This window comes from Homo sapiens, chromosome 9, assembly GCF_000001405.40.
Source record: "Homo sapiens chromosome 9, GRCh38.p14 Primary Assembly".
Lineage (NCBI taxonomy): Eukaryota > Metazoa > Chordata > Mammalia > Primates > Hominidae > Homo > Homo sapiens.
In genome coordinates this window covers 114,056,809-114,078,877 of record NC_000009.12, presented here as the reverse complement: position 1 = coordinate 114,078,877, position 22,069 = coordinate 114,056,809, and the positions used below count along the sequence as shown (strand labels likewise).

The window sequence follows — 22,069 nt, the reverse complement described above, 5'->3', positions numbered from 1 at the left end:
TGGACACCTGTGGCACGTGTAAAGTGCCTGGTACACAGCCAGCACATAGCAGGTGCTCAGTGAACGGAAGCTCGTAACAGTCATCATTGTTAATGTCTCTATTATTTGCAAAGGCTAGGGCAAGCCTGGGGGCTGGAGAAGGAACTCTGGAGACAGGATACCTGGGTTCTGGTCTTGGCTCTGCCCATAGACTTCCCTGAGGTCTCTGGCAAGTCACTTCCTCTCCTTGGGCCTCAGTTTTTTCCTGTGAGAAATGGGCCCAATCAGGCTTGACCTGCTGGCTCACAGAGCTGTGAGGTCCAGATGGCATGACTCAGCAGAAAGGCCAGGTCGCTCCCCATCCTCGCATGCCCTCTGTGGGGGACTTTTGGGGGGCGGAGCCCAATCCTGGTGCTCCAGGGCCCTATTGTGCTTGGCCAATGCCTCTTCTGAAGCAGCCATCCCGGCCTCTTGGTACTGCTGACCCCAGCCAGGCTACAGGGATCGATTGGAGCTGTCCTTGGGGCTGTAATTGGCCCCAGCTGAGCAGGGCAAACACTGAGGTCAACTACAAGCCACAGGCCCCTTCCCCAGCCTCAGTTCACAGCTGCCCTGTTGCAGGGAGGCGGTGGCCCTTCTGTTGCTAGACCGAGCCTGTGGGATATACCAAGGCAGAGGAGCCCATAGCCATGAGGAGCCTCGGGGCCCTGCTCTTGCTGCTGAGCGCCTGCCTGGCGGTGAGCGCTGGCCCTGTGCCAACGCCGCCCGACAACATCCAAGTGCAGGAAAACTTCAATATCTCTCGGGTAAGGCTGCCGCTCTCTGTGGTAGGGTGGATGTGGTGATGGGGAGTCCAGGCAGATGGGCCCTGCTGGGCAAGTGCGGCCTGTCTCGGGGTCTCAGGCTTCCACTCAGATCATCTGGGATTATGGGATCCTTTGAAGGTACAGCTCTATCCCCTGCCATTCCGTGGGTCTCTTGGCTGACATTCTATGAGTCAAACATCCTCACCTTCTGCACTGTCCTCGTGGGCTCCAAGGGGAACCCTTGTGTTAATGGGAACCTGCTCCAGAGAAGGCTTTGTCCTGCCTGCCACTGCCCTGCAGCCCCCGTGCAGACACCTAGCTTTGCCCAGACCTCCCAGCCCTTCCTTCTCTAATGACTCCCCTCTCTCTGTGGCATCTTTCCCTTAGCTCTTCCTGTGTCCCCTGCCCACATCCTGGCCTGACTGTGGACAGACACCTGGGGTGGCACAGCGTGGGCATGTGGCCAGCAGCTTTTGGGTTGGGCATGTGGGGCTTATGGGAAGAGGTGAAGCAGGACAGAGATTAGGGTTGGGAGACATTCAGAGGCTTGGGCACAAGGAGAGACCTGGACTGGGGCAGGACACTCTCCTGTGAGTGTGGAGTGCCAGAGCTGCCTTCCAGCCCCCACTCTGCCCTAAATCCCGGGGTGGCTTTGAGAATACCCTTGCCCACCTGGGGCTGTCTCCATGTCTGTATGAAGGGTCTCAGAACCTTCTAGCTGTGGTGTCATGTGGGTTTTGTTTACTTTTAGGGACAAGGAAAGGTCGTGGCAGAGGGGCAATGAGGAGCAGGTCCCTGTGGCAGTCTGGGACGCAAAGGGTGTGGGGCACATTGGCCTGTTCCGTAGGAGCCTGAGGGCTCCTTCAGCTGTCCCGTGCACTTTCAGGAGGAAGAGGAAGCAGGCCTATCCTGAATGACCCCATCATGTTCATTATACTTTTGAAATAATTCCTAACATGGGGCTGTGGGCTGCCTTGCAAGGTGGGGAGCACCCCATCATTGGAGGAGTAAAAGACAGGACTCCAGCTCTTGGGGAGCAGTGGTTGATGGAGCTATGGACAGATCCCACATCTTGAGAGAGTTAGCCCTTCTGCAGGGCAGGTTGGGACCCCAGCCGCACACCTGCTTCCTGGGTTCGCTGTGATGCCTGAAACGCCACTCTTAGGGATCTGGCCTCCCTTGAAGGTGTGTGGCCTCTGATTAGTTGTAAGACATTATCCCTTAAAAGGATAAGTCATTTTGAGGAGAAGGAGGAGGAAGAGGAGGAGGTGGAGGGTGGGGAGCAGATGTCAGCCAGGTCTGCTTTGAGGTCTGAGACTGATGCAGACCCCCAGAGCTCACCTGCCTCCTAGATCTATGGGAAGTGGTACAACCTGGCCATCGGTTCCACCTGCCCCTGGCTGAAGAAGATCATGGACAGGATGACAGTGAGCACGCTGGTGCTGGGAGAGGGCGCTACAGAGGCGGAGATCAGCATGACCAGCACTCGTTGGCGGTGAGCACTAGGGTGGGGCTGGAAAGCTGAGAGAGACCCAGAGACCCACAACCTTCCCAGCCCCGTCCATCCTGGGAAGTTGCAGATCTCTGCTTCCAGTCAGGACCTTCCCGCTGAACCCCAGATCCCTCTACGCTCCTCCACCAGGACGGCCCTTTTCAGGTGTCCTATCTATTCCTCGAGGGCAGTGTCCCAGCACTGTGCCTGTTCTGCAAACTGCTCCTCCCCCTTGGGCATTCCTTAGCCCAGTGTGGGTACTTCAGCCCCCCAGGGACCCAACCTGGGAACTGGGCTCCTCTCTCCCCTGTCACCCATCATCAAGTCCTGCCCATTCTCCTCCTAAATCCCCCCCAACCTGTTCACTTCTCCCCTCTCCACTGCCACCATCCTGGTCCAAGCCACCTCCCTTTCTTTCCTGGTTGTCTGCCACAACCTCTCTACTCTTTCCTCACCTCTGACCTCCACCCTTCCACCCCATCCCCTCTTCACCCAGTAACCAGAAAGACCTTTTGAAAACTCACATCTGCTCGAGACCCTTCCATGACTCCCCAATGCCCTGGGAGTAAGATTCAAACTCTTGATGTGGCTTTCCAGGACCCTCCCAGCACCCAGAACTCCTGCCACACACTCTGCTATGTACTCTGAGTCCTACTCACGTGAACCTGCTTTCAGTTCTGGAACTCTCACGCCTCCAGGTCCTTGCACCTGATGTCCCTTTTACTGGGAGCACCTCTCCTCATTTCCCTGGGCTAATTAGTTCCTGTGGATTCTTCAGAACTCAGGTTTCATGTCACCTCCTCCAGGAAGCCCTCCCAGACACCCAGGTTCAGGTTACATGCCCTTCTTTGTGCCCGAAGAGGACCTCACACTTACCCCCATGTGGTACTTCTCACACTGATTGCATCTGCCTCTCACCTGCCTGCCTGACCCACGCAATTGCAAGCTCCAGGAACCCCAGGGAATGGGGTCTGTCTTGCTCTCTCATGTATCCCTGCCATGTAGCACAGGGCTTGCCACATAGGTGCTGCCCAATAAATATCCATTGGATAAATAGTGCTCATTGTAACAATAATAGCTAATTCGTATATAGTGCTTCCTCCAAGTTCTTTACATATGTGTCAGTTGACCCTCACACTAACCATGTGAGGTAGAAACTATCATGATCCCCATTTTATAAATGAGAAAACTGGGGCAAGAGAGACACAGAACAATACATGGATGACTGTAGGAATTCATCACTCCAGCTCCTCCTGCCTCAGTATAATGTGTAGATTTGATTAAGGAAGGCGGCATTAGTGCTGGCTTTGCCAGGAGGATGGCATGGATTTGTCTCTTCTTCTTTGTCCCTCCATCATATGGAAAATGGGGGTCTCTCAGGGCTAGTGTGAGGATTAAACAAGACATTTGGAAATGTTCATTTCCGAATTAAAAAGCAAACAAAAACACACAAACAAAAAAACCCCAAAACCAAGGCATTTGGAAAGAGCCCTGCAGGAGGGTTGAGTGTCAGGACCATGATCTCTACCAGGAGTGACCTTCCTTTTGATTTGTTCATTTCTAGGAAAGGTGTCTGTGAGGAGACGTCTGGAGCTTATGAGAAAACAGATACTGATGGGAAGTTTCTCTATCACAAATCCAGTAAGTGGAGTGGAAAGAGACACATGCATTCTCTCCTTTGCTTGAAAATACCTTGATGTCCTCAGCTCCCTCTGCCTCTGTAACCTTTCCTCCCATTTAGCTGAGATGTCATCTAGCCTTCCCCCAAACAACTCCTCCTCTTCCTCCTCCTCCTTCTCCTCCTCTCCTCCTCCCCTTCCCTCTCTCCTTCCCTGCCCCCACCCAGTGCCCATGCCCAGAGTAGGGTGATGGTGCTGATTTCGCCAGTCTTCATGTCTTCTTAGGCACCTGCTATCAGCTGATAAAAATTTACTAAGCATCTACCACGTACAGTGTGCATGATGCTAAGTGAGAGAGGGATTTGGACATTAATTTATTTGTTAGTTCAGAAAATGTTTATTGAATATGCTCTATGTGCCAAACAATTGTGTTACGGCTGAATATATGAATGTTTGGCTAGATAGATGGATGAATGAACAAATGATTGGTGACTGAATATATGTAAGGATAAATGAGTCAAAGAGTCAGTTACCTAATAGGTAAATTGATGGAGTGATAGGGGAAAGAAGGAAGGAAGGGAGAATTGATGTATGGAGAGGATAGATGGATTGAGTGATGGTGGATGAATTAATGTGAGTACATGGAGGAGATAGATGGGTGGATAGGGAGAGATTGAATATGGATGAATTGATAAATGGAGATATGGAAGGCATGGGTGGATAGATGGATGGATGAGGAGATGATGTGTGAGTAAACAGGTGACGGACCTCCAGCTAGAAGAGTCTACTGACCACTGATCCCTTTGGTCTGCCTGCACCTCCCATGCAGAATGGAACATAACCATGGAGTCCTATGTGGTCCACACCAACTATGATGAGTATGCCATTTTCCTGACCAAGAAATTCAGCCGCCATCATGGACCCACCATTACTGCCAAGCTCTACGGTAAAGGCTCATTACTAGATGTGCCCATTGGAGTTAAGGGTGGGAGGACATTGATTTATGGACAGTGGAGTGGGTAAGCACAGGGAGTTTTGCTTTTTCCTTCTGACAAAACTCCAATTTGGAGAAAGGTACAATCACTGAGTCTCCCTGGAGGAGGTGAAATTCTCTCTTTTTGATCTCTAAAATTCCAGGCCCAGAGAATTACAGAGCCTCCAGGCCCTTAAAAGAACCAGTGGGGACTGGGGGCTGTGGCTCACACCTGTAATCCCAACACTTTGAGAGGCCAAGGCAAGAGGATTGCTTGAGGCCAGGAGTTTGAGACCACCTTGGGCAATATACTGAGACAGCATCTCTACAAAAAATTAAAGAATTAGCTGGGCATAGTGCATGTGTGCTTGCAGTCCCAGCTACTCAGGAAGCTTAGGCAGGAGGGTCACTTGAGCCCAGGAGTATGAGGCTACAATGAGCCATGATTGTGCCACTGCATTTCAGCCTGGGCAACAGAGCAAGACCCTGTCTCAAAAAAAAAAAAAAAAAAAAAACAGGGATTGAGACCATCCTGGCTATTGAGACCATCCTGGCTAACATGGTGAAACCCCGTCTCTACTGAAAATACAAAACATTAGCTGGGCGTGGTGGCAGGTGCCTGAAGTCCCAGCTACTCAGGAGGCTGAGGCAGGAGAATGGCGGGAACCCGGGAGGCAGAGCTTGCAGTGAGCTGAGATCACGCCACTGCACTCCAGCCTAGGCGACAGAGTGAGACTCCGTCTCAAAAAAAAAAAAAAGGGGAAGAGTCCTTTGTGGGGACTCAGGAGACCTGGGTGGGAACCTGGGAGAGACCCCTCTTCCTCTTGGGAGCCTGTCTTTCCTTCAGTGTATCAAATAGATTAAACTGCATCAATAGTTTTCAAATTTTCCCTAAGTGAAAATCACTGGGCAAAATCATTTCAGGCCCTTCCACTCCAAGCACCTGGTGGTTCTAGGCGTCTCCTCTGCTTCCTCCTTGCAGGGCGGGCGCCGCAGCTGAGGGAAACTCTCCTGCAGGACTTCAGAGTGGTTGCCCAGGGTGTGGGCATCCCTGAGGACTCCATCTTCACCATGGCTGACCGAGGTACATAGCACCCCTCCGCCTCAAATTCCTGTCCCCTCTTCGTCCCTTGTGGGCGCCAGAGACCATCCCAGCCCCTGGGTCCTTACTATAACCCTCTGAGATAAAAAGGCGCCACAGCCTCCCCTCCATAGTGAATCAGGAAGCCAGTGGATTTGCTCCAAGTCTCACAGCTTATTCCTAGCAGAGCTTAGACTAGAACCCATTCAGTGTTCATTCTACTGCCATGTGTCTCAGGGAGGTTGTAGCCAGAATCCACAGATACCTCTTAGGAGGCAAAAGAGTTTTGGGATTAAGAAAGTGGGCTCAGGAATCAGAGTGTTACGGGATCTTTGGGGCATTGCTTTTCTGGCTGGAAACCTCTGTGGCCAGTGGTGCCTTTGCCTGAGTTTTGCTTGGGCCTGCTGGGCTTGTTCCACCCACTTGGCCTGGTAGACCGTGCTTGGCTCATGCTACTGGCCTGGATCCCACACCTCCAAGGGAGACTGCAACTCAGGCATGAAGCGGCAAGGGATGTGTGAGTGAGGGTGGGGTCCAGCCACTGCAGTCAAACATACTGGCTGCTGCCATGGGGTGGGCAGCTCCAGGTGCTGGCATGGTGCCAGCACTCTGTAAGGGTATGGCTGGACCAGGTGCACCACAAGCAGATTTCCCAGCTGGCGCCAGGGAATGGAGTGGTGCTTGGAAGCTCGGAGATGCCAAGAACTGCAGGGCCCCAAAGAGGGAGTTACAGTCCTGGCTGGTGGAGCTCCCAGGTCTGGGCTCCCCAAAGGGCTGCAGCTTTTCTCTCCTTCTCTTCACCTGCAATGTGGTGAGCAAAGGGCATGTTTCAGCCCTGTTTGTGTTACAGTTAGCCTTGCCATTTTGTGGGTCCCAAGTTCTTGTCCTGTGACCAGAAAGAATGAGGTACACAGACAAATGTAGGGTGAGCGAGATGAAGGGGAGCTTTACTGAGCAATAGAACAGCTTGGAGGGGACCTGCAGTGGGCAGCTCCTTTCTGCAGCCAGGGTGTTCTGATGAGTGTTCAGCTCCTAGCAGAGAGGAGACCCTGGAATGGGAAGCTCCTTTCTGCAGGCAGGTCATCTGCTGAGGCTGCAGCTCTCAGCAGAGAGGAGGCCCTAGAGTGTGTGTCTCCTCTCTGCAGGCAAGTCATCCCATTGTCTCCCCTTGTCTCTCTGTCCTCTGTTCGAATCTGGCTGAGTCTGGGGTTTTTATGGGTGCTCTGTACGCAAGTTTGTACTGACTGGCCCATGGGCGGCCATGGGTAGGCCCAGGGAAAAGCACCCCAACTTCCCCATCTGGTTCACAGGACTGGTGGCCCAGGCCCCAGGCTTCAGGCCCTCCCCAGCTTGAAAGTGGGGCTTCACTGGGGACCAGCCTCCTTCCACTCAGGAGCCTGTCAGCCTCCTGCTGCTATTCATGGCACCCAGGCTGTTCATGCCAAGGGGCGCCTGCAGGCCAGTGTCAGGCTGCCATCAGCCCCCACTCGGCCTCCCTTCCACGCTTGTTGGCACCCAAAGTCTGGAGGGGGCTGAGGCAGCTGGGAGCTGGCACGTCAGCACTGCCCTGAGCATGTGCATACCTGTCCAGGCTGCAACAGCACCCTGGCTCAGCCCTGATCTTGCTCCAAAATAAAGCAGGCACCAACAGCAGAGAGAAGCCAGGCAGTGGGAGCAGGCATCCTAGAGTCTGTGGTGGGCAGGGGACCTTCCTGGGCCCTGAGAGTGCAGAAATGCCTGGGTCCACAGCCACAGCAGGGCGGCTGCTGCTGCACCTGGGGAGCTCCTATCCCACCAATTCAGAAGGGGCAGGGCTCCCACTTGTGCCCAGCTCCCACCAGCTCAATGGGGTGTGCAGCCCCAGCCACACCCCTTTGCAGCCTGAGGCAGGGGCTGTGGGCCCTTGCTGGGCCCAGGCTGGTGTCTGGGGCTGGGGTGACATCGTGGCAAGCTCCCTCCATGGCCCCAGCACTCAGGGGTGGCCTGAGGCTCCCCTTGCCTGGCTCGCAGCCCTGCCCAAGGGGTGCTTCCAGGAATGGATTGCAGGCCCCAGGCCCAGCCATCCAGAGTATCAGGCTTGACAGTCACCCCAATGTGGGGTGGACCCTGGGGACATGGCCCCTGGTGGCTTCACACACAGCCTCCTCCCAAGGCACAGGAACCTGGTGCCCTTAGTGGGGTGGGCCTGGTGGCCATGCCACTGGCTGGGTCCCTGAAGCGGACGCCACTCCCATTTCCCACCCCAGGGTCCCAAGGCTACGCCCCAGCTCCACGCCCCAGGCCCAGCCCCATGCTCTGTGTGCAAGTGCAGCACTGCCCTGGGCCCAGCTCTGCCTCAGGGGCCCTCTCTGCCCAACTGTATTGCTCCCCTGCTGGCAGGTGACTCAGCCCAGCCCCATCGTGACGGCCGCCAGGGTGGCAGGCTCCAGGGGCTCCCAGAGGTGGGCTCCGGGGGCTGTCAGCCTCCTCCCCATGACCTCTCCGCAGTGATGGTGGGCGAGGATGGCAAGGTGGAGCCAGAGTGTGGAGCAACAGAGGCTCTGGGCCTGGGAGTGGGGTCTACCTGGCTGCATAAGGATGGGGGTGGCACAGTTGCCTGCCTCAGGGGTGGGAGCCACAGGGGTCCCAGCTCCACCACTGCCACTTCCGCAGTCACTGCTACCACCAGTGCTCGTGCCTCCCCACTGCAGCCAGTGTGATGGCCGCGGCCACTCCGGATGGCCCACTGCTGCCATCAAGAGCACCTGGGTTCGAACTGAGCTGTGTGGCCTCTGGCTAGTCAACTTCTCAGAGCCTCATTTCCCTCCTCTGTAAATTGGGCATAATAACACCTTCCTTAGAAGTTGCTGTAAAAGGCAATGCAATAAAACCATTAAGTACAATAGCACTGTGCTCATAAATGCTCAGTCAGTGTTAGCTATTGCTATTCTTTCCATGATGCTGATAAAATGATGCTAGTGGGGTGGGGTGGAGTGGATAGATGGTAATGATGGTGCAGCCACCAGTCTCTTGCTTTTCCAGTGAATGGCCTTGAGCAAGCCACACAGGCAGGACCATTCATGAAGTGGACTAAGGCACGACAAGTTCCCAGCACGATGCTCACCAAAGATACAAATCCGGGTCTAGGATGGCCCCTGGGCCTGGTCCTGTTATTCACTCCTCTCTCCTGCTCTGTGACCTAGGTGAATGTGTCCCTGGGGAGCAGGAACCAGAGCCCATCTTAATCCCGGTGAGTGCCTCATCCCCCGACCCCATCCCACCCCATCCCACCCCACTCTGCCCCAGGCACGCTGCACACTTGATCCTGCTGCGGGGGGAGGCAGAGTCATGGGGAGGGGGTGAGAGAAGGCAGCGATGGCCATGAGTGTTGAAGTCAGACTCACTGGGGCTCCATCTTGATTCTGCCACCTGGACTAGTTGCCAATCCATCTGGACCTCACTTGTCTCATCTTCAAAACAGGATAATCACAATTACCTTCTGGGCTTGTGGCAGAATTTAATGACATATAGAAAAGTTCTTAGCACAGTGCCTAAAAGCATCTAAAAGAAGTAAAACACTCAATAATGAAATAACAATCCTCAATAATGAAATAATGATATTCAGCATGAAAAGAAATCAATTGATTTCCCTAAAAATCAGCAAACCTGAGAACAAGCAGCTTCTCAAGCCTTCTCTTTTCCTATGTTGCCTTCTGATTTTGGGGCTTTCCTATGCTTCTCTTTTATTTTCTTGCATTTTGCCACATCAGTTACACTTTCTTCATTCTCTTGTCTCTGATTATTTGGAAAATTATATATCCTATTCTACTAATGTATGTATGTATGTACATGGGTATATATCTGTGTGTGTATATATATATGTGTATATATATAAATATATGTGATATTTATTTGGAAAAATATTCTTGAAAATTGCGAAACTATAAACCCCCCACAAAAGACAAAATGTCCTTGTTCCTATGTAGAATTAACAGTTAACACATTAGATATTTGCTCCTATATTTTAAAAGAAAATGACCATTGATCTTACAAAACTAATAAATGGTCATTATAAAGAATTAGAGGAACACAGAAAAGTATAAAGGTAAGTAAAGGTTTTTTTTTTTTTTTTTTTTTTTTAATCTCACCACCTCAAAACTATCAGCAGTCACACAGTTTCTGGAATCTTGCCACACATATGGATAAAAGGACTTATAGAAAAAAGGACAAATGGATGATCAAATTTAGATATACTGTTATTAAATGGGATTATATTACAAGTGCTATTTCTAATTTTTAAAAGCATTAATTGTGGTTTTACTTGAATTTTTTTTTTTTTAATTGAGACAGAGTCCCACTCTGTCACCCAGGCTGGAGTGCAGCTGCATGATCTTGGCTCACTTCAACCTCCGCCTCCCGGGTTCAAGTGATTCTCTTGCCTCAGCCTCCTGAGTAGCTGGGATTACAGGTGCCCACTACCACGCTTGGCTAATTTTTGTATTTTTTTTTTCAGTAGAGACAGAGTTTTGCCATGTTGGCCAGGCTGGTCTTGAACTCCTGACCTCAGAAGATCTACCCGCTTTGGTCTCCCAAAGTGCTGGGATTACAGGCGTGAGTCACTGTGCCTGGACTTTTGATTTTTTTTTTGTTTAAAGAAACTGAAGTGGACTTCTTGATCTTCAAATGAATATTTAGTCATGAGAGGATTTATGTCCTAAAGATTCTTCTAAAGTCAAGGTTGTGAAAAGACATTTAAGAGGCTGCCATCACTGTATATTTTTAAAGAGTATATTTATTATCTCCGTGACTTGAAAGACAGACAGGAGCACTCCCTTTGAGAGTGAAACTCTGTGGCAACTCTTCGAAAATTTCTTTTGTCTTTTAAATTGTCTAGATCGATACCATTCCCGTCTTCTCTGTCTCCATAATCCCATCTTTTAGAAGTAGTTCTATACTTTAGTGGATTCTGTTCTTACCTGTAGTGAATATAACCACAGCTTCTCCGTTCCCGAGTTATTTATTTCTATTATTCTCTTAATTAGTGCCATTTCTTTGCCAGGTGGTGTTTTTGAGGAGGGTTCATGGGTGTTTCAGTCCATGAATTCTCCCATGTTTGAGAAGGTCAGTCAGTTTCCTTCATATTTGATGCCATTTTGCTTGGGTGCAACAGTCTTGGGTCGCGTGTTCCTTCCCTTAGAACTTTGTATATGTTACTCCATTGTTCTCAAGCGCCGATTATTGCTATGAAAAAGCCCGAGACCCGTGTGATATTTCTTCTCTTTGTAGGCAATTTATTTCTTCTGTTCAGATGCCTGGGAAAACTTTATCATTAAAATCAACATCTTAACAAAACCTGTCTTGATGTTGAAAATTCTATTTAAAAATTTATTGGGGGTTGGGTGCAGTGGCTCATTCCTGTAATCTCAGCACTTTGGGAAGGTGAGGCAGAAGGATCACGTGAGGCCAGGAGTTTGAGACCAGTCTGGGCCACATAGTGAGATTCCATCTCTACAAAAAGTGTGTTTGTTTGTTTGTTTGTTTTAAATTAGCCAGCTCAGTGGGTGGCACTTGTAGTCCCAGCAAATCGGGAGGCTGAGGAGGAAGTATTGCTTGAGCCCAGGAGTTCTAGGTTACAGTGAGCTATGATTGTGCCACTGCACTCTAGCCTGGGCAACAGTGAGACCTTGTCTCTATTTAAAATATACATCCTGAGCCAGGCATAGTGGCTCACACCTGTAATCCCAGCACTTTGGGAGGTGAGGCGGGCAGATCAAGAGGTCAGGAGATCGAGACCATCCTGGCCAACATGGTGAAACCCCATCTCTACTAAAAATGCAAAAATTAGCTGGGTGTGGTGGCTGAGGCCTGTAGTCCCAGCTACTTGGAAGGCTGAGGCAGTAGAATCACTTGAACCCGGGAGGCAGAGGTTGCAGTGAGCCGTGATCGCGCCATTGCACTCCAGCCTGGGTGACAGGGCAAGACTCTGTCTCAAAATAATAATAATAATAATAACAACACATCCTGGAATTCAATGTTCTCTTTTCATATACAGATTACATTTCTTCTGTGTTTGAGGGAAATCTCTCTTGATATCATTGAGTTTATCTTCCTTCCTTTTGTTGGGTTTTGCTACCTCGGGAACACTTGTTCTCTCATCCAGGAGCATCTTTGCCTTCCACATCTATTAGTTTCTTCCCAGTCGCTTTCATCTCTTTGTCGTTTCCATCTGCATTCACTGGGATTATCACTAGTCTCTCTCCTATGACATTCATTGCATTTTTAGCAGTCATTCCTTTGTGCAGACCGTCATTTCATTCTGTTCCTTGCTATTTCTATTTCTAATTTATTTGCTGGTTCTGAATTATGTTGTTTTGGTTCTCAATTTGTTTCTGTAGGCTTGGATTTTCTCTTTTCATCTTATTCTGTTGTTTTTGCTCATGCGTATAATCCCAGCATTCTGCGGGGCTGAGGCAGTAAGACTGCTTGAGGCCAGGAGTTCAAGACCAGCCTGGGCAACATAGCAAGACCCCATCTCTACACACACACACACACACACACACACACACACACACGTGCACATAAATGCATGTTCTGATTAAGTAATTCTATAGCTTGAAGGCATTGAGGAATTTCCTTCTGTTTCTTGAGTTCTGTTTTCTTCTGGTATCACAGGTTGGGTTCCCCAGGACCAACACCTGTAGGGGAGAAGACATGAAGGCAGGATAGGGCAGAGGAAGCAGTCCAGCTGTGATGCAGTTACAATGCCTCAGCCAACACTACAGGGACCTCTGACATTTCAGAGACGTCCCAAGATGCTGCAAAGGGGCTGAGCCCTAATACCCCTGTGTTGATCAGTCTGGGAGGTGCGCATGACCTTGGGTAAGATGGCTCCTTTAGCTGCCACAGTCCCCAAAAGGGGCTGACCCCTGGGGGCTGTCTGACAGTAGCACTGCCAGCGACTGAGAAAGTACATCCATTGCTGAGGGAAATCCAGGTAGTTTATTAAGGTGTCCACCACAGCTGGGCTCTTTCTCTTATTCAGGTTATTTATTTTTTTATTCACTTCTGAGGTGGGTTTGGGTAGTTTCTGTACCATTTATCTTCATCTTGCTTCTTCTTCGTCAGCTTTATCCAGACTTTCTGTTTGTTCTGGTACAATGGGAGGTGTCATTTACTCCTTGGTCCTCTTCCCATCAAATTTGAGCCCAATCCCACCTCCCCCTAGCCCCATCCTACTTTAGTGTAAGATCTGGGTGTTTTATGTTCATCAACTTTTGTAAAGTCCAAGGGAATGGTGAGGGTGGGGGTGGGGGTGGGGTAATGAACTGCCCCGAGGTGCACATGCGGGTCTGAATACTGTCTGTGTGTTTCCGGGGGCTGCCGTAACAGAGAACCACAAGCTGGGGATTTAAACAACACAGATTTGCTGTCTCACAGTTCTGGAAGCCAGAAGTCCAAGATCAAGTTGTTGGTAGGGTTGGTTCCTTCTGTGGGCTTCGAGAAAGAATCTGTGCCGTGTCTCTCCCATGGCCTCTGGTGGTTTGCTGGCAGTCTCTGGTGTTCCTTGGCTTGTTAAAAACATCATCCCAATTCCCACCTTTATCTTCACAGGGAGTTCTCTATGTGTGCGAATCACCCGTTTATAAGGACACCACTCATATTGGATTAGGGTCCACCCTAATAACCTCATCTTAATTAATTGCATCTGAACAATCTGATTTCCAAATAAGGTCACATTCTGAGGTTCTGGGGGGTTAGGACCCCAGTATATGAATTTTGGGGGTCACAGTTCAATCCATAACATCCTTCCTCTGCTTCTGTTTGGAAGGACTGCTGAATGTTCTGGATGGGGCTCATTATCCCTAGGTGGGCTGGTGTGATATAATCCATCCTACGACAACATGTCCTGGAGCACTCAATTGTATAGCCCTGGAACTTTTACTACCATTCCTCCCATTCTGTGAACTCCATTTTTGCTTTTTACTCCTTTCTCTCCAAAAGGCATGTTCACTACTCCTCTGTCAGGAAAGGAAAGGGATGGGGTGCCCCTCAGTTTTCTCCTTCTGGATTTAGAAGTATTAGGAAGAATAATAAATCTGATGACATACCAGGCCTGGAGGTTGCAGGGCACAGCTGAGCCATTCTATTCGGTTCCAAAATGTCTTGTGTTTTTTTCCTTGGTTGCCAGTTTTAAAGTTTTTGGCTTTAAGTTGGGATCCTTTCCTTGAGTGACACTGATGACAATTTGGGGGCTGGGGCTATGCTTTTAAACTCATTTTTTTTTTTGCTAAATGTTAGGTATTGGGGGGAGAACTCTAGAGGAGAGTTTCAATCTGCTCTTTTAATCCAGATGTCAACTAAATCTGTATTTCTTTATCAATGTCAAGAATAAAACCAAAGCTAATGACTCCCCTTGCAAAAGAGTGAAATACAGCACACTTCTATTTCCCGTTTCTCACCATGTTCATCCTTTCAGATTTTTCCCCATACCTGTTTTTGTGGATATGATCTGAAATTGTTTACATTTTCTACCTTTATTTTTTTTAAAAAAAATTGTTTCTAAATATTCCCAGTAAATCACATAACCATGTTAGCAATTATTTATTGTAAAACTCTATATTTTATTGGCTTTATACCTTATCATTATTTCTTTGACATTACATCTTTAATTTCTGGCATTTAGATTCCCTTCTTAATTGGTGGGACTATTTCTACAAATAATTTTTTCAGGAAAGATACATGGGTGGCAAATGTCTGAATCCTTGCAAGGCTGAGAATGTCTTTCTGTGGTTATATCATACGGCCAGTGGCTTGGATGAGTGAAGGATCCCTGGGTTACAACCTTTTCCCTCTTAAAACCTTCAGATATTGCTCTGGGACTTCTGTCGTTAAATGCTGTCACTTACTCTGAGGGCCACCAGGCTCTTTATTCTTTGTCCCTAGGAATGTCCAAGAAGGAGCTCTTCCCTAATTTTGCCTGATTCCCTTTTTCCCTATAATTGGGCAACTCAAATCTTTCTTTAACTCAAAAAGTTTTCTTCTATTATTTCTGTATTGATTTTCTCTCCTGGAAATCCTATTATGTGGATTTATTTCCTGTAGCATGGAAACTGCACTTTATCATCTCTATGGTGTGGTTAAATTCAACATCATTTTAATGTTCAACAATTTTCTACTTTCACATATTCATTTCCATCACTGTTGGCTCCTGTTATATGGATGTATGTCATCTTTTTTTTGTTGTTTTTTTGGATGCATGTCATCTTGAATTTCAGGGAAGGTTTAAGTGTTCTTCTGTTTCTTACTGCCATCAACCTGAATTCCAGAAGATCCAGAATATCTCCCATTTAGTAAGGGTATTTCTTCATCCCAACCCAATTCTGGCAGCTGCAGTATTTAACTTGTCCCACGATTTTTCTCCATTTCTCTATCCTCATCAAGGAAAGCCTATATGCCACCAGCTTAAGACTGGTCTGGAAGACAGTGAAAGTCCCTGACAGTTTTCACAGTGTTTTGTTGCCCCTGAAAAGGAGATGGGAAATTTTGAGATTACTACAGCTACCTTCTCAAGTTCCAGGTCTCACCTGTGGGCAGGGCTGCTCATCTCTTCTATAATTGCCCTGGGATCCTGCCTCAAGGACTCTACACCCAGAGGCCCTCTTGGCAGCTTTGGCAGCCTGCCCTGCTCTGCAGTCCCCACCACCACAGCAAGGAGTTAGGATCAGTTTCAGGGTCCCTTCTTTCTCTCTGGATTTTTTTTTTTTTCTGCAAGCAGCTAATGATGATCTGGTCAGCCCTTCCTGTAAACCAGTTGCACCTGTGCTCTGTTGTGCAACAATGCCTTCACATCTTTAGTGTGAGGGTGCTGCTCTCCCCTGGTTTCCAACTCTGGGAGGTACCTTTTCATTACTATATTCCTTTAGGCACTTCAACTGGGAGTTGGATATGGGGCTATTGTCATACCTCATGGTTTTAAATTTCATTTCAGACCAGAAATCTGTCCTCTGATGCCTGTTCAGGAATTCAGGTTGACACTTTTGGGAAAACAGTCTCCTTTAACCAGTCTAAGAGCTGTGTTCCTACCTACCCTGATTCCCAAAGCAAGTTGTTCATTTATATATTCCAGGGGTACAGGAAAGCAATAGCGGCAAGGAGTCTGCAACTGCTTCTTCTCTTTCTCTCCCCCGCAGAGAGTCCGGAGGGCTGTGCTACCCCAAGAAGAGGAAGGATCAGGGGGTGGGCAACTGGTAACTGAAGTCACCAAGAAAGAAGGTAATGAACACCTGCCTTTTCACCCCCTCTGCCATACTCCAGAAAGGAAGGGCCCACAGTTGGCTCACCCTGGCTACTCTTATCAGTGCAGTCTCTTTATCTGTTAGAGACTCAAGGGCTGGACTGAGAAAAGGCAAATCAAGTACTCTGCACTCTGCCAGGGGTTGTGGGGGCAGAGAGAAGAGCATGAGGCATCGTCCTGGGCTTGAGAACTGTCAACTCCATGATGAGAAGCTGGTTCTTGCCCTGTCTGTATGACTGTGTGGCCTCCTAGCCTTGGTTTCCTCATCCATATTATGGGATAATAGCCTGTGGGGCTAAACATCAGGGCTCTTGTAGGAGGAAGTCGGGGAGGGACATGTGAATGCTTTGTGTAGTTGACAGTGTCCATGACATAACAACTTCCTCTCCAACTCGATCAGCAAACAAACACTGAACCCTGCTCCGCCCCAGGCCCTGTGCTGGGCACTAGGGTCACACAGACCACTTGTGTCATTTTGGAACTTCTGGTCTAGTGGGGAAGGCATCCAAGGGAGTAGGTGATGGGCCCAAAAGGAAGGGTCAGCTAAAGGGCAGGGGGAGCTGAGACGTTGGAGGGGTGAGGGGATCAGGAGGACTTCATGGATAAAGGGGAATTCACACTGTGTCCAGGCATCCAGGTAAAGTTTTATGGAGGGTGGCATTCCAGGGAGCAAGGAACAGTGGGAGCAAAGGCAGGGTGGGTGGGACTTGGTGAAAAGGTCAGGCTGGCCAGTGTGGGTGCTGGTACATATGTCATCAACTACTATTACAGAGTTTTGGGGCAGGCAAGACCAATACAGGGGGACAGTGGGCCTGTGGTTCACTGGTAACTCCCCATGACATGGAGTGGAATGGGCATTGGTTTTGGAGACAGGGTTTTGAATCTTAGCTCTATGTGACCCCGGCCAAGTTACTTCACCTCTCTGAGAGTCAGTTTGCTTATCTAAAAAGAATTGATAATCCTTTTAGTGAAAATTAAATGAGATGGCGCATATCAAGTGCCCAGCCTGATAATGGGTACACAGTCAACACTTGGTCAGTGCTGCTGGTCTGCCCCTCCCTAGATTCCTGCCAGCTGGGCTACTCGGCCGGTCCCTGCATGGGAATGACCAGCAGGTATTTCTATAATGGTACATCCATGGCCTGTGAGACTTTCCAGTACGGCGGCTGCATGGGCAACGGTAACAACTTCGTCACAGAAAAGGAGTGTCTGCAGACCTGCCGAACTGTGGGTGAGTGCGGGTCCCCACCCCTGTGCGCTCTGCACCCTCAAGACCCTGTCCCTCCAGTAAACCACCTGCGAATTGAAAAGGTAGCTAACAGAGGGCATTCCAGTGGTAGAACTCCAGGCGGTTTCCTGAAATCTTAGGAATTCCACCTTTGGATGTGGAGGACCTCGGGCAAATCATTTTCTTCCTGTGGGCCCCAGTTTCCCCATCTGTCAACGAGGGATGAGGTGTTCTAGATGAGCAGGGCCCTCTGGCTCAGCAGTCTCATGTATGTCTGATCAGCAGTCACAAGGGTTTCTCAAGTTCCATGCCTCTCTCCACTCCACAGCGGCCTGCAATCTCCCCATAGTCCGGGGCCCCTGCCGAGCCTTCATCCAGCTCTGGGCATTTGATGCTGTCAAGGGGAAGTGCGTCCTCTTCCCCTACGGGGGCTGCCAGGGCAACGGGAACAAGTTCTACTCAGAGAAGGAGTGCAGAGAGTACTGCGGTGTCCCTGGTGATGGTAGGCAGCCCTGCAGGGTGCCAGGCTGGGCCGAGGGGCTGTTGGAGTCGAGGTGGGAGAGCCCTGGGAGGAGTAGGGGTCTGGAGAGCTGAGTTCTGGACTCTGTACCTGGTAAGCAGCCCATCTACTCTCTGAAATGGGGCTGAGCCTGGGGCCTTACCCCAGCTGGAATTGGGCCTTGGGGAGTTATTAGCCAGGCACTGGCAGAGGGTATGCAGGGCTGACTGAGGAGTGGGGCAGAGCTGGGTTCTAATTTTGCACCTGCAACGTTGAGCAAGTGCCAATCTGAGTGTCAGTATTCTCTTGTAAAATGGGACAAAGCACCTGCCTCCCAGCCTTCCCAGTACCTGACGCGGAGTTAGTACTCAGCTAACAGCAACTGCTCCTAATAATAACGACAACGATACAATGGTAACAGTAATAGCATTCCAGGGAAGAGCAACCATTGAAGATGTCTGTGCCTTGATTTTCCCACTGGAAAATGGCACCTGCGGTAAACCAGAAGAGGAAAAAAAAATCTGATCATTTCATGGAATACCCTTTGGAGATAAATGATTCAGCAAGCAGAGGTTTCTGGCCCCAGGCGACAGCTGCTTTCCCTTCCCTGAGTGTCCCTGCCTACGGACCCCTCCCTGAGTCTCTCTGTGTCCACAGGTGATGAGGAGCTGCTGCGCTTCTCCAACTGACAACTGGCCGGTCTGCAAGTCAGAGGATGGCCAGTGTCTGTCCCGGGGTCCTGTGGCAGGCAGCGCCAAGCAACCTGGGTCCAAATAAAAACTAAATTGTAAACTCCTGAAATTCTGTGTCCTCATTGTTCATTGTCATCACAAGTGTAACTAACAGGGTGGCGGAGGGGAGAAAAAGCCAGGGTGGGGCCATATGCAACCCCAGCTTTCCCCAGAAGTGAAAACTGCGTTGGAAACATAATAGAACTATCTTCAGTACATGACGTTGGCTATGCAAATTTTGAAACAAATCAAAGTTCTATTTACAATAGTGTAAAATGGGATTATTTTGTTTTGTTGTAATAAGGCTAGGAAAGAAAGGAAGACACTCTGGGGACTTGTCTCTGGGAGAGGTTTGGTGGGTCATCAGTGACCCAGGCTCAGAAGAAATGATTGATTGTGCCCTGCTGTGCCCAAGGAGCTCAGGGCAGACAGCCCACAAATGCCTGAAATAATTCCCCTGTCCTTTGCTGTACAAAACATCTCCCCAGGGTTTTACTTCAGCTGCAGCCATATCCCCAGAACCAGCTGACCGGAGCTGGAAAGCCTCAGCTGTTTCTCTGCATGGCCCTGGGGAGCCCATCCCCTGGGACCTTCCCCTGGGCCTTTGTCCTGGAAGGAGAGTGCTCACTGGCCTTCACATTGTGTCCAGTGCAACTGCTGGGCCCTGGCCCAGGGCCAGAAGCCCTTGATTTGGGCTGGCTTCTCCTCACCCTTGGGAAAGGGAGTAGGTGGGCTGTCTAGAGCAGCTCAGGACAAACTTGGCCCAAGAACACAACTCCAGGATACTCCAGTGTAGACACACAGGCTTTACAAACGTCTGATTTATAAATATCTCTTGCTAACTGCATCCACCCACAGCCCCGATGGCTGCTGTGGCTGTGGAGGGATTGGAGGCCCCAGCTTTGTGTGTTCTGAAGTGGAGAGCTGACGCTGGCAGAAGAAACCCAGGCGGGGCCCTACCTCCTCTTCTCTGTGGGTGACCAGCGTCCTAAGGGCCGGTGGCTAGTTCAGTCCTGGGTTCGCCCCTTGTGCCCTTAGCTCATTGGCTTGAGGGACCAGGCAGGCAGGAAGGAGGGATTCCATACTTCTGGTTGAGGGGATGAACCTGGAGACAAGGATTTGAGGATTGAAAGCTTTGCAGTCCCCTGGGTCAGACACATCAAGACCCTCCCTTTGTCTCCCCCAACATCCAAAGTGTGGGGCTTACAGGTTCCAACAGAGAAGACTGCCCTGAGGGACAGCATCTGTGGTCACGGCCTGGACTTTCTGGGCAGAAGCAGGTGGGGTCAGGTGCAGGGAGACAGGCAATTGTCCAGGAGAAGTGAGAGGCCCTCCGGCCTGGGACTAACAAAGGTCCTCCCATCCTGTGTCCACATCCTGTTCCTTCCACACGTGCCTCCCATACCAGGGCCAGCCAGCCACGGCAGTTTGAAGGGGCCATGTTGAAGAGTGATATTTTGAAGTGACTTGAACTGAAAGATAAAATGTTTAAATTGGAGGGTGTGAGCTGCAGGTGTACAGGCCAGCTTCAGCTGGTGGAAGGAAACGTTGCTCACGAGGTATTTTTTTAAATTTTATTTTTTTGAGACAAGGTCTCGCTCTGTCACCCAGGCTGCAGTGCAGTGCCATGATCTTGGCTCCCTGAATCCTTGACTTCCTGGGCTCAAGCGATCCTCCCACCTCGGCCTCCTGAGTAGCTGGGACTACAGGCGCGTGCCACCATGCCTGGCTAATTTTTGTATTTTTGTTGTTGAGACGGGGTTTCACCATGTTGCCTGGGCTGGTCTTGAACTCCTGAGCTTAAGCGATCCTCCCATCTTGGCTTCACAAAGTCTTGGGATTACAGACATGAGCCACCACGCCTGGCCGAGGTATTTTTTCACAGCTCTGAATTCGTCACTCGAAAACTGAGTTTCCACATAAAAATCTGGGTTTCTCAGTTCTCTTAAAAATAATTGGCATCCTGATGCCAACGATGAGCTGGGGCTTAGCAGAGATGCCCCCCCCCTCCCCCCCACCGGAAGGGCCTCACCTTGTGTAACCAGCTCTGCTCACCGACCTGCCTGGTCCAGGGGCATTTGACTCTGTGACACTTGCTATAACTTTTCACTAAAAATAAATTTAAAAATCAATGCACCCTAGCTTTTAAACCCCAGGGGTCGGATGGGGGAGCGGCACCTTGTGACCCCGAGTCTGAGGAATTCACAATGCTCACCTCAGAAGGTGCCAGGAATCTTTCTCCGCACAGTGGACACACTTACCTTGACGATTCACTCCATTCTTAAATAGTCTCACCTCAAATTTCTCTTTCAAAGGTGCTGGGCACACTCATTTATTTCCATTACAAAATAAATGTAGCTGCAGCTGCTTAATAAAGAAACATCTTTCCCCCCCCCCTTTTGAAAGCATTTTTTTTCAATCCAGAGGCTGCTCCTTCAGCTGTGAGGGCTCCCGGGCCATGCCCTGGCCTTATTTGACTGCAATGTTCAAGAGTGTGGAGGAGGATTCCTTCGGCCACAGCAGGACTCCTGACTTCATTGTAGGCTACATAGAAACTCCTCTATTAAACTTCAATCATCGGCTCAGAACATCCACACAGTTCTCTTAGCATGAAACTCCTAAGGCAGGATGGTTTTGAGGGCAGGGCTGGTGCTCCAATGGGCTCTTTGTGCTGTTACACGTGCGGTTTGATGGAATTTTTCCAGGTGATCAAGTAACACATCCTCTACTTTGAAGCAGAGTTGCCCACACCTGGTAAAGATGGTGTCAAGCCAGGGCCTGGGGTGTCTGTCACTCACTCACCTTGATGGCAGGATGGCGGCTTCACCTCTTAAGGGGCTGTTCTAACAGTGGGCCCACTAGGAGGAGTGGTCACCCCCTCCTGCTCAGGCCCCAGCTTGCCTGCTGGTCTCTCTTCTCCCTTGACTGGCCTTTGGTTTGCTTCTATTCCAGAAGAACATTGGTGTCTGCACATCTGAACGGCATCAGGCTTGGTGAGCCCACCAGGGCTGGCCTCTAGCAGCTCATGGTGGAGGGCGCTGATTTCTAATTTGTTCAGAGTCCCTCATGCCATCAGGAATTTGGCAAAAGCCATGGACACTCTTCCCCAGCACATGGATGATACATACAACAGTTATAACACACACACACCATTTAGGGGGCCAAAGCCACTAGGTAAAGGGGCACAGGAGCCTCGCGATGACCGCAGGGCAGGGCCAACCTGCACATACGCCTGAGGCATTAGACCTGGAGGATGGAGACTAAATCCATCCCTTCCTCCATGGGACAATGCTCCACAAGCCCAGGAGGGTCACATCTTCCTCGACCATGTCCCTCCCTCATTTATCAAACACTGGCTGAGCCAGGTCTGGTGCAAGAGATGAGCTGC

At 49.9% G+C, this 22,069-nt stretch overlaps 1 protein-coding gene across 1 annotated transcript; it reads left to right on the top strand.

Annotated features, from left to right (window-relative positions):
- The first annotated feature begins 577 nt into the window (after positions 1 to 577).
- AMBP (alpha-1-microglobulin/bikunin precursor) lies at positions 578 to 18,751 on the top strand. Its single transcript, NM_001633.4, has 10 exons — positions 578 to 785; positions 2,138 to 2,280; positions 3,842 to 3,918; positions 4,726 to 4,842; positions 5,852 to 5,953; positions 9,133 to 9,179; positions 16,120 to 16,201; positions 17,287 to 17,454; positions 17,780 to 17,953; positions 18,608 to 18,751. The coding sequence occupies exons 1-10, from the start codon at positions 669 to 671 to the stop codon at positions 18,637 to 18,639; spliced, it is 1,059 nt and encodes a 352-aa protein (NP_001624.1). The 5' UTR covers positions 578 to 668; the 3' UTR covers positions 18,640 to 18,751.
- The last annotated feature ends 3,318 nt before the right edge of the window (positions 18,752 to 22,069 follow it).